This window comes from Homo sapiens, chromosome 4 (genome assembly GCF_000001405.40).
Source record: "Homo sapiens chromosome 4, GRCh38.p14 Primary Assembly".
Classification (NCBI taxonomy): domain Eukaryota; kingdom Metazoa; phylum Chordata; class Mammalia; order Primates; family Hominidae; genus Homo; species Homo sapiens.
The window spans coordinates 98206301-98219432 of NC_000004.12; positions in this window are offsets into that span (position 1 = coordinate 98206301).

A 13132-nucleotide genomic window follows, 5' to 3' on the forward strand; every position below is an offset into this window, starting at 1 on the left:
TTACTTCACTAAGAAATGAGGCAGGCACAGAAAAAGTCTCCTTCATGAGTCTTAATTCTAGTAGGAAGGCTAACAGTTAGCTGGTGAATACTTGTATAGCCATACTAGTTGCTTATGACTTGTGCTTACTCTTATTGGTCAATGCCCACACCCCTTTTAGTTGTTAAATATTTTAGGTATCGTCACTGCTGGCAGAGTGTAGGCAGACAATAAACCAATAAGAATGTATAGCAGAGTTTCTCAACCTCTGCAGTATTGACATTTAAGAATGGATAATTCTTTGTGTGAGAGGCTGTCCTGTGCATTGTAGGATGTTTAACAGCATCCCTGGTCTCTACCCACTAGATGCCCATGGTAGCAATCACCCTCCCCACTTGTGAAAACCAAACATATTTTTAGATATTGCCAAATACCTCTCTCCCCTGTTGACAACCACTGATATATGGATAACATTTCAGGTAGAGTGTTATGAAGAAGAATAAAGGTGGGTGAGAAGAGACAGAATGAGGGAGGCATAGGCAACTTTCAGTGGGATGGTAAGGTAAGAGCTCTCTGAAAAGTTGGCACCAAGCAGTGAGCTGAAGTGAGTGAGCCACGCTGCTACAGAGGGAAAAGAATTCCAGGCGGAGGGAACATCAAAAGCAAAGAACCTGAGACATGAACATGTCTGACATGCTTGATGAATAGTGAGAAAACCAGTATAGTTGGAGCAGAGGGAAAAGGAGTGGGATTGAAAGATAAGGTCAGAGAGGACGTCAGGAGCCAGTCTTTTAGGGTCTTGTAGAACACAGTAAGAACTATGAACATTACTTTGGATAAAATGGAAAACCATAGGAGGGTTTTGAGAGAAGATGGATGTGGTCTATCTTATTCCTCTATTTTAAAAAAGGAATAAAAATAGCTGAGAATCTTATTAAAAAATAATCAACCAGTTGCAATTAATTCGAAAGACTTTTAAAAATTGATATACCACCTTTCTCACTTAGGACATTAGCAAAGAATTGGAAGTTGAAATACCCAGTCATGGGGAAACTTTCGGGAAACAGGCACATTCCTCTGCATTAATGGATGTAAATTGGTACAATTTCTTTGAAGGACAAATTGTCAATATCTATCTCTCTCTCTATCTCTCTCTCTCTCTCTCTCTCTCTCTCTATCTATCTATCTATCATCTATCATCTATCTAGTTTTTTTGTTGTTATTGACAAGGTCTCACTCCGTCACCAATGCTGGAGTGCAGTAGTGTGATCACGGCTCACTGCAGCCTCAACTTCTCCGGGTTCAGGTGGTTCTCCTACCTCAGCCTCCCAAGTAGCTGGAACTATAGTCATGTGCCACCATGCCTGGCTAATTTTTGTATTTTTTGTAGAGAGAGGGTTTCACTATGTTGCCCAGGCTAGTCTCAAATTCCTGGCCTCAAACCATCCCCCTGACCTTGGCGACCAAAAGTGCTGGCATTAATGGCATCAGCCACCCCAGGCCCAGACAATTTTTTTTTCTTTGAAACAGGGTCTCACTCCAGCTCAGGCTGGAATGCAGTGGTGTGATCATGGCTCACTGCAGCTGCAACCTCCTGGGCTCAAGCAATCCTTCCACCTTAGCCTCCTGAGTAGCTGGGACCATAGGCATGCAACACCATACCTGGCTAATTTTTTATTTTCTGTAGAGACAGGGTCTCACTATGTTGCCTAGGCTGGTCTTGACCTCCTGGGTTTAAGAAATCCTCCCACCTAGGCCTCCCAAGTGTTGAGATTACAGGCATGAGCCACCACACCAGGCCTGTTAGAATTTAAAATTTTAAGTGTTAAAATGGACACAGTAGGCCAGCAGGGCGCAGAGGTTCATGCCTGTAATCCCAGCACTTTGGGAGGCCAAGGTAGGAGGATCATTTGAGCCCAGGAGGTGGAGGTTGCAGTGAGCCGAGATCCAGCCACTGCATTCCAGCCCAGGTGACAGAGCAGGACCCTGTCTTAAAAAAAAAAAAATTGATACAGTAATTACATTTAAAAGGAACTTATACAGATACACTCACACAAATGTGCAAAAAAAAAATATTTATTGCAACATTGTTTGAAAGCAAAAATTGCAATTAGCTCAGTGTTCACTAATATTGAACTGGTTGTAGAAATTACAGCAAATCTGTATAATAGAAATGGTTCAGTAATCAAGAACTTTAAGATAAATCTATATAGGCTGATATGGAATTCTCCAAAAAAAATATTGTTAAAGAAAATAAAGCTTGGTACAAAAGCAGCTAACAGCATGATTCCATTGTTATTTAAAAGAATTTAAAAGGCACATGCATGTTTGCTTTAAGGATATTCAATGTCTTTCTATCTGGTTTCAATTAACTGGTTTGTTCCCTATAATTTTCATTGACCATAATAAAAAATGACTAGTAATGAATGCTCCATTTTGTTTGGATTTTGATTCTCAGGACTATGCTTATTTTGTAGATTTTTACTGGGGAACTTTTCGTGGGTTTTTTTTTGTTTTGTTCTGTTTTTTGTTTTGTTTGTTTGTTGAGGTATTACCTGACTTACATTTACACTTTAATATAACTTCATCATAAATATAATAATTTTTAAAGTAAAAATTCCATATTTCCATGTGGATAGAAAATTCCTGGGAGGATATGTAAGAAACTAGTAACAATGATTTGGAGAGTGGAAGTAGAAGTGAGACGGGGGTGGGGGACTTCACATTTCATTTCATAGCTCTATGTACTTGTTTAATTTTTTATCATGTGCATATTTTCTATAAAATTAATAATTTAAATTAAAACGAGAGAATCTTCCTGAATACCAGTGCCATCATATAAGTGATCCCTACACTAGTGGCCCTGAACTTTTGTCCCCAGGCCTGTCTCCTATTCCTGGCCTAGGATTATCTCTTGAAAAGGATAACAAATTTGGTTTTCTTGGTTTTTATTTTCAGTTCTCTGAGACTCCACTTGCTTTCACTCTGGCTCCTGTTCCTCCTACTTCAGGTAACCATTGCATAATCTAACCCGTAGTCCATCTGTCTGCTTAACTAGCACCCAAACCTGGCCTTCCATAAAAGGGAGTAAGATAAAACTTTCATAAAACTGCCCAATACAGGCAACACTGTCATGCAGGAAATGCTACTGTAATATTTTATGGAAATAGACTTCATTAAGATGCTCAATAACTGCATTACATCCAATTTAGAATTGGTGGTAGTTGTCACGTTTTTGTTTTTGTTTTTGTGTTTGTTTTTGTTTTTGTTTTTGAGACAGGGTCTCTTTCTCTCACCCAGGCTGGAGTACAGTAGTACAAACATAGCTAATTGTAGCCTTGACGTCCTGGGCTCAAGTGATCCTCCTGCCTCAGCCTCCTGTGTAGCTGGGATTACAGGTGCATGCCACCATGTCTGGCTAATTTTTTAAATTTTTTTGTAGAGACAGGGTCTCACTTTGTTGCCCAGGCTGGTCTTGAACTCCTGAGCTCAAGAGATCCTCCCACCTCAGCCCTAAAGTGCTAGGATTACAGGTGTTAGCCACTGTGCCAGGCCATGTTTTTGTTGTGGAATGGTAATATTATTATGGATTTTATATGCTTTAAGGCTGTGTGAGCAGATGCACGCTTAGTTCAGATTTACGCCATATAACATGCATTATTGCAAAATAGTAGCTGAAGTTGGTAATTTTTTTCTTACTGGTCTTCAATGGGCCCATTTTTGGTGCAACCCTGGTCAGAGAATATATGGGAATGTTGTTTCGCATAGACTTGGGGTCATATGTAGTTTGCAAGGGAGAGTTTCTTATTTGTCTCTTACCCACCCCTCATTCCCGTGGTTGGTTTTCTTTCACCATTTTTATACACTACTTTCCTGACCATTACTTCCACCTCCTAAGTCTAGCGTGAGTACTTTTCATCTCTGCTACTGTGATAGGTTACCCTGAGTTGTTAACATGTAGCCAATAATAAATGATGACATTCCCGACATTTTCACAAGGAATAAAACAATGTATATAGGTGTACATGTCAATTTTTGATGTCCAAACTCATTTCATGCTTTTTCTAACCTTTATTTTTTGCCATTATTTCTAACATCTATTTCTGGGCAAAGTTTTCTAGATGAAAACTTCCTGATTTGTTGACATTTTCTGGTTGAATAACTGCCAGATTCTCATTTGGCCTTTATGCTTCATTCAGCTCCAAGTGGATAAACACTAACAAGGAAAGAAAACAGATATTCAGAACCAGCCTAACTAACATACGGGTTTTTTTTTTCCTACTCTGCCAATGTCACTAGTATTATTGCAGCTTCAATTAATAAATGTGGATTGTTGCAGCCAAAACACAATTATTATTTTTCCAGCAATTGTATTAAAACAGTATTAAAATGATTATTCAGGTACCCAACTCTTTAAGGACAGATGGGATTCTATATAACTGTCTGAAAAGCTAATTTGGCAAAATGATATTTGTTATTTTAATTACAGAATTGGAGAGGTATTACCATGGAAAACAAATTCTCCATTTGGCTGAGTCCAGAGCTTTCAAGAAGGAAAAGATTGCTATGGTGATCATTATTGTGGTTTGCTGGCTATCGTCAGATAATAGCATTCCAGATGAGCAAGGCACCTAGTGATCAGCAATTTTTGCCTTCGGTTTTTGAACATTTGGGCAGACCTTAGCAATGCCTTCTCTACTCCATGATCTGCTCTTTCATTATTTCTTTCTATTGCAGAATCCTGTTTTGCCTGAGTATGTCCAGGTTCTTCACAGAATTCTCCTACCTTTTATACTTTTTAAATGTTAAAAATTAAAAATATTAAAAAATAATAAATAAAATAAAATATGTTAATGGACCTGAACAGATAGGTGACTAATACATGTTGTATTCCTCCAGCAAATATCTTAACTTCAGATAATGTGTTAGCTCCCTATTTTGTCAATTTTGTAAGTGTGAAGTTTCATTTATTAAGTAATGAATGATATCTACTATGAGTAACATTTCATATATAATAAACCTCACTATTAATATAGAAAGTATGGATTATTAGCAACAGTATATTAATTAATACTCAATTAGCCTGGAGTCTCTCTGAGCCTACTCTGGCTCAGGATGCTGCCTGATAAAAAAAAAAAAAAGAAAGAAAAAACTTCAGCTAGAAGGACTGCAAATATTTTTTAATGTGAAGACCTGTTTTCATCTGAGATGTAAAAGGAAAAGACTGAAATTTTACTGGTTAGTATAATGATCATTGGAAAGTGACAATAATGCTTTCAAAATTATGATTAGATGAGAAATCAAAATGTTTTTAATGTTTTTAAAATAAGGGTTTTTTTTAGACGGGCTCTCACTCTGTTGCCCAAGCTGAAGTGCAGTGGCATGATCATGGCTCACTGCAACCTCAACTTTCCGGGCTCAGGTGATCATCCTACCTCAGCCTCCCTAGTAGCTGGGGCTACAGGTATGTGCCATCACACCGGGCTAATTTTTGTGGGTTTTTTTGTTTTGTTTTGTTTTGTTTTTGAGACGGAGTCTCTCACTGTCACTCGGGCTGGAGTGCAATGGTGCGATCTCGGCTCACTACAACCTCTGCCTCCCAGGTTCAAGCAATTCTCCTTGCCTCAGCCTCCCAAGTAGCTGGGTTTACAGGCGTCCACCACCACGCCCAGCTAATTTTTTTGTATTTTTAGTAGAGACGGGGTTTCACTATGTTGGCCAGGCTGGTCTCGAACTCCTGACCTTGTGATCTGTCTGCCTCAGCCTCCCAAAGTGCTGGGATTACAGGTGTGAGCCACTGCACCCAGCCAATTTTTGTATTTTTTTTTTTAGATGGGGTTTTACCATGTTGGTTAGCCTGGTCTTGAACTCCTGGATTGAAGCAATCCTCCCACCTCACCCTCCCAAAGTGCTAGGATTACAGGTATGAGCCATCACACCTGGCCTAAAAATAAGTTCTTGAAGTTAAGCTACAATATGCAATTTGGATGGGAAGTTTCTTGAAATCTAATTTTTTTTTTTTTTTTTGAGACGGAGTCTGGCTCTGTCGCCCAGGCTGGAGTGCAGTGGCGCGATCTCGGCTCACCGCAAGCTCCACCTCCCAGGTTCACGCCATTCTCTGCCTCAGCCTCCTGAGTAGCTGGGACTAGGCGCCTGCCACCACACCCAGCTAATTTTTTGTATTTTTAGTAGAGACGGGGTTTCTCCGTGTTAGCCAGGACGGTCTTGATCTCCTGACCTCGTGATACACCCGCCTCGGCCTCCCAAAGTGCTGGGATTACAGGCGTGAGCCACCGCGCCCAGCCTTGAAATCTAATTTTAATTAATGTTTTGTCATCACTATATTTTGTGATCAAATGAAATAATTGATGTGGCCGGGCATAGTTACACACACGTGTAATCCCAGCTACAGTGAGGCTGAGTGAGCTATGATTGTGCCACTGAACTCCAGCCTGGGCAACAGAGCCAGACCTTGTCTCTAAAAATAATAATAATAATAATTGATTACTACTAATAAATATGTAACTGACAGTTTTTTGCTTCTTTAATAACTATATCATATTATCAGCTCTCACAAAGAACAATTACTTTCATTACATTGTTTTCTTTTCAAATGTCTTTATAAAACGGGTTCTCTAAAGCTATAAATGAATAAATAATTTTAAGCCAGGTCTTCTTTCTTAACTCAGGTATGTTCTTTTTAGAACTTCCTTTGAAGGGATGACAGGCCAAAAGATGGAAATGGGAAGCAATAGAGGGAAATCAAAATTTCACTGCTGCTATTTAACATTATTGTGAAGTCAATTCACCAACTTCAAAAGAACAGTGATAGGAACTGGCAAAAAAAAAAGAGATCAGACAGAATAAGTAAACAGAGGTTTGAATGAAAGACTGAGAAACTTGGATTTAATTCTACAAGTAAAAGGAAGTCAGTGAGAGTTTCTGACCAGAGAACTGACAAAATAAAAAAATTATTTTTGCAAAGATTAATCTGCAACTCTGTCATGAATAAACAGGAGTCAAGAGATGGAAAACAAAATTAATATAGGAATCTGATTATAGTTATTCTAGCCAGAGGTCCTGAACACCTGGAGTAAAGTGGTTATTATGCAGAAGGCAGATAGTATTTAAGGAATGTTATAAAGAAGGAATGGGCAAAGCTTTTGGACTGATTGATATGGGTAACAAATGATAGGGACAGATAAAAAGGACTCCCTGATTCTGGGCTTATTAGGGTAGCAAAGTCAACAAATATTTTTTATGTAAGGACATCTTTTTGAGAAATTCATAGCCACCTACAAGATCATAGTCGTAATTTAAAAATCCAATGATGGAGAAAAATATTTAACAAATAATTGCTATTAACTCAATAATGCTTTTAGATGAATATATATTTATAAATAACATCCGCTATATGTCTGTTCACACTGTGCACTGTTTGACTCTTCTGCATATTGACACTGATATAAATGTCAATTATAGCACAACCTAGAGTTGTGCAGTATACAACCTACCCTACTGTACACAGTAGTCATGGACTGTAGCATCTATATATCTCTGAAAACAGTTGAGCAAAACTTATGGAAACCCCACTTATTCAGTCCTCAGATATTATCTAGTTCAAGATGACTTCAGGGATGTTTTCTAAAGACTCTATAATTCACAAGGGACAGTCATCTATATATCAGATAACAATAAGAGGAGGAAAAACAAGAGGACTATATTGCTGTGAACAGTGATGGGAAAGTTCATAGAAAGAAGAGTTCTTCTTCCTTACAAAATCCCTGAGCCTCTCTGCTTTCTAAGATAAAGTAGGGGCTAAGAATGATCTACTCTACTATATTAGTTTCCTAGGGTTGCTGTAACATTACCACAAACCTTGTGGCTTAAAACAACATAAATTTATTTTCTTACAGTTTTGGAGGCTAGAATTCCAAAACCAAGGTGTCAACAGGCCATGTCTTTTCTGGAGGTTCTAGGGAAGAACCCTTGCTTGCCTCTCCCAGCTTCTGGTGACTTTCAGCAATCCATGGCATTCTTTGGCTTGTAGCTGCATCACTCCAATCTCTGCCTTCCTCTTTACATAGGTTTCTTCTCTGTGTCTTTATGCATATTCACCTTTTCTTATAAAATCACCTATCATTGGATTTAAGACCCATCCTAATCCAGTATGATCTGGTCTTGGGATCCTTCACTAATTACATCTGCAAAGACCCTTTCAAATAAGGTTACATTTTGAGGTTCTGGGTGAACACAAATGTGGGGGGAACATTATCTAATCTACTACATATATCTATGTGAAAAACCTAAATATTTTGCAGGCCATGCTCTCAAGTCTTTTAAAGAAAATGCTACCTCTTACAGTTGCTGAGTTTTACAAAGGTAAAGATGCAATATGTTCAGATTCTAAAGCTCAAATAAAAAAATAACAGCCTCAAGACCACAATGGGTGTGGGTTACAGCAAAAATGCTTTGGTTGAACAAAGCAGCACAGGGCATCAAAGAAAAGTCAATGTCTCCAAGCTCCTGCTTTAACCTCTTGAGAACATAGCCTTCCCTTGAGTAATGACTTTCACATTCATTGTTTTGATGTACTTTTTCCTACTTGTGATAAAGTCCTGCTTTTATTTCATTATGAAAGAAGAAAATGAAGGAAAGAAGATAGGATACAATTCCATGGGCATGTTATCTGACTCTTTTCATAAAACAAAAACCTTTTATTTTGTTGTTAATTGATGTTTAAATTGTACAGTTAGTTATTATCTTGATTTTTCCTTTCTTAATCTAGTTTTGTATATTCATTCATTGAAGCATAATTGGAATATTTTATCTAAAACATTATGATTGTTTATTAATATAGAATAGAATAGGTGAGACTTTTAAAATATTAGTTTATAATTCTTTTTGAAGTTTGTATAGAATGGTGAATTTTTAAAAATTCATCACGATGTTTTTTCCTAACATGAATTATTTATCGTTTGCATAAAAAAGAGGTAATTTTATAAAACTATCTTTCTTATTATTCTTTGTTGCTTTCACATTTTCACATAGCAAATTAAAGGAAAAATTACATTATTGCAGGAATTCAGTAACCTTTTCCTAAATAAGTTTAAATTTGTTCTGCTATCTATATTAAATAATAACAGAGGAGATACGTTTCACCAGAATACTAGGGGCTGTTGGCAAAGAGATGGGAGAAACTGTGCCCCTGCTATTAAAGGACTGAACAAACTAGTGGTAAAGAAATAATTATAGGCTGGGTACAGTGGCTCACGCCTGTAATCTCAGCACTTTGGGAGGCCAAGGTGGGAGGATTACTTGAGGCCAGGTGTTTGAGACCAGCCTGGGCAACATAGCAACACCTGTCTCTACAAAAAATTTTTAGGAAAATTAGCCAAGGCCAGGTGCAGTGGCTCATGCCTGTAATCCCAGCACTTTGGGAGGCCAAGGCGGGTGTATCACCTGAGGTCGGGAGTTTGAGACCAGCCTGACCAACATGGAGAAACCCCATCTCTACTAAAAATACAAAATTAGCCGGGCATGGTGGCACATGCCTGTAATCCCAGCTACTTGGGAGGCTGATGCAGGCAAATCGCTTGAACCTGGGAGGCAGAGGTTGCGGTGAGCTGAGATCTTGCCATTGCACTCCAACCTGGGCAACAAGAGCGAAACTTGGTCTCAAAAAAAAAAACTAAAAACAACAACAACAACAAATTAGCCAGGCATGGTGGCACATGCCTGTAATCCCAGCTACCTAGGAGGCTGAGGCAGGAGAATCGCTTGAACCTCGGAGGTGGAGGTTGCAGTGAGCCAAGATCATGCCGTTGCACTCTAGCCTGGGAGACAAGAGCGAAACTCAGTCTAAAAAAAAAGAAAAAGAAAAATTAGCCAAGTGGAATGGCACATGCTTGTAGTCCCAGCCACTTGGGAGGCTGAAGCAAGAGAATCCCTTGAGCTCAGGAGTTTGAGGCTGCAGTGAGTTATGATTGTGCCACTGCACTCTGGCCTGGCCAACAGAGTGAAACCCTGTCTCTAAAAAAAAAGAGAAAAAATTACAATATATCAGTAATGTGATACAGTGGTGATATTTATATATTGCTATGACATTATAGAATACAAGTTGGTAGGAGAAAGCTTCACTGGAAGGTGACATTTGAGCTAAATTTGAAAGGATAAGACTTCGCCAAGAGGAGAGTAAGTTGAATAAGGATATTCTAGGCAAAATAAACAGCTGTGCTAATTCATGGAGTAGGTAGTGTTCAGAAAATGGTAAGAAACTTATGTGTATAGAGAATAGGGTTTGGGCCAGGCGTGGTGGCTCATGCCTGTAATTCTAGCACTTTGGGAGGCTGGGGTGGGCGGATCACTTGAGGCTGAAGTTCAAGATCAGCCTGGCCAACATGGTGAAACCTCATCTCTACTAAAAATTTAAAAATTAGCCTGGTTTGGTGGCGCACACCTATAGTTGCAGCTACTCGGGAGGCTGAGACACAAGAATCACTTGAACCCGGGAGGCAGAGGTTGCAGTGAGCCGATGCACTCCGGGCTGGGTAATAGAGGGAGACTCAGTCACAAAAGAAAAAAAAAAAAGAAGAGAGTTTGTGAGCAGATGGAAAATACTAGGAAATGAGAATAAGATAATAAAGCAGATCGGGATGAAGTTATGATGTACTTTATCCATGTAGGAGAGATAATATTTTACAAATATTAAATTAATGCATTGTAATGTCTCTGTAAAAGCATGCTCCTTTGTATTCTTCTCATTTCAAAGTCAACTCATGAGATTTATCGTACCAATGAAGAGGAAATACTGTAAAGTGGCTTTTGATTTGCTTTGAGTCTCAAAGCAGACTTTTTTTGACCTTCACGAGAGGATAGTAATTGTGAGAGCAAGGTTTTGTAAGGTTTTGTAAGAGACAGAAAAGGATTTACTAAATTTCTTGGTTTCTCCCCTTAATATTTCAAAAGCCAGTCTGTATAGTTTGTATGAGGGAGATCTGATCCAGACAGAAAGGCTAAGTTGGGAGAGCTGCCCCTTTGCATCTTCGTGGATTACAGCAGAAAGTAAAGAAACAGGCAGAGTGAGGAAGGCAGGCATCGGTAATGTCTCCCTCTCCTTCCAGTTCATGCTTTCAGGCAGCAGAGGGATTGGAGGTAAAGGGTGGGGCATAAGAGGGAAGAGCACTTAGAAAAAGTAAAACAAGGCTGGGTGCAGTAGCTCTTGCCTGTAATCCCAGCACTTTGCCAAGGCAGGCAGATCACCTGAGGTCAGGAGTTCAAGAACAGCCTGGCCAACATGGCAAAACCCCTTCTCTACTGAAAATACAAAAATTAGCTCAGCATGGTGGCCCATGTCTGTAATCTCAGCTACTCTGGAGGTTGAGGCGGGGAATCGCTTGAGCCCAGAAGGCAGAGGTTGCAGTGAGCCACGATGGCGACACTGCACTCCAGCCTGGGTGACAGAGCAAGACTCCGTCTCACATAAAAAAAAAAGAGGGGACTGGAGACTGTGGGTTTGCGTTGTTGTCGTGGGCAATGGGGTACAGTGACCTTTAATGCCATGGAAGGCTTGGTAGAAAATGAATTTGAGACAGAGAGGAATCAAGAGTTTTGCCTTGTCTGTGTTAAGTTTGAGATGCTAATTAATCCAGGAGGAGATATCAAGTTAGGAGAAAGATATACAAGTCTAGAGAAGAAGAATTTAGAATTGGAGATGGGAGATCAGTCTACAGGTCATCTGCAGCATATAAATGGCATTTAAAGCCAAGCATTACCTAGGATGAGGTCAATTACACAGGGAGTGAGGAACTTCTTTCCTCACTACCAAAGGCTGTGTGAAGTGCACAGCCTTCTCCTCCCACCTTAGAGACTCTTGGAGAGGAACAGTGGAGAAAGAAGAAATCTGAGAGACTAAGCATGCTACCTTAAGTGACTATGCATTAATCCAAAGGGATATTTAAAATTGTTTTACTAGATTATGTCCACAGATTTAGAATAAAATTTTTTACCCACCACACAGTAAGTGAAGGCTTATGGGAAATATAGGATCAGCCCTAGAGAAAATAAAGAAATTCCATTTTCTTTGCTCCCCTGAATATAATGTGAATAAATCTAAGATCTTTTATCACATATAATTTTAAATGCAACAATTCTTACTATTAACAAATATCTGCTCCTATTACTCCCCTGAAATGAAATTCATGGATAATAAAACGAACCTATGCATAGTTTCAAAAACAATCAATATAATATTTAACATCATATCTGTATAAGAGAAAAGAGAGGAAAGTAATTTGTAATAAAATAGTATTTATTTCAGTATGTCAATGCTCAGGCACAGCTATACTAGAAAACATGAAGCAGTCAGATGCTTGCATCTATTTATAGTTACATATCATAAATGTGACAGCCACAATGCAGGTACATTTTTGGCAACTCAAATATCCCAAGCAGCATCTACCGCCAGTGGTAAGATTCTCCAAAATGGTGAACAAATTTTGTAAAACTCTGAACAAAGAAAAGTAAATGCTTCCCTCAATTTACACAATACTTCCATTTCTAGAAAATTCTTGTTTATATGCTGAAACAGATTTTCACCTACATTAATTGCTAGGGAGACACTTGAAAGTTGTGCAGGATGTGGACAATATTTTGTTGAGAAAGACTCTTTGTTCACACACTGCAGGATCTAACTTTCCCAGCCCCTGCCCAATAAAAGCCAGTAGTACTTCTAATCTCTGAGACAACCAAGAATGTCCCTACACATTAGCAAATATCCCTAGGGAACAGTATCGTTCCCACTGAGGACTACTCTTTAAGTGATGTAAGACTATGTTTTAGTTAATACAGAATCAATGAAAATATGATAAGCAGAAATGTGTCCACACACAAATGTTTTGGAAGATATTACCAATGGCATCATATAGATTGAAATGCGTGGAAATTAATGGCCAACAGTTACATTCAGTGGCTGTTTCAGTGCTTCAGATAATAGATGATAAAAGCTAGATTAAGATCATGGTATTATAAAGGGAGAGAAGAATACAAATCTAGAGACAGTCTAAAGCAAAATGTAAAATATTTAAAGGTCAATTAGACATAGATTCAGGAAGACTTCGAATGTAGTATGGCTCTGAGCTTTCTAACTTAGAAG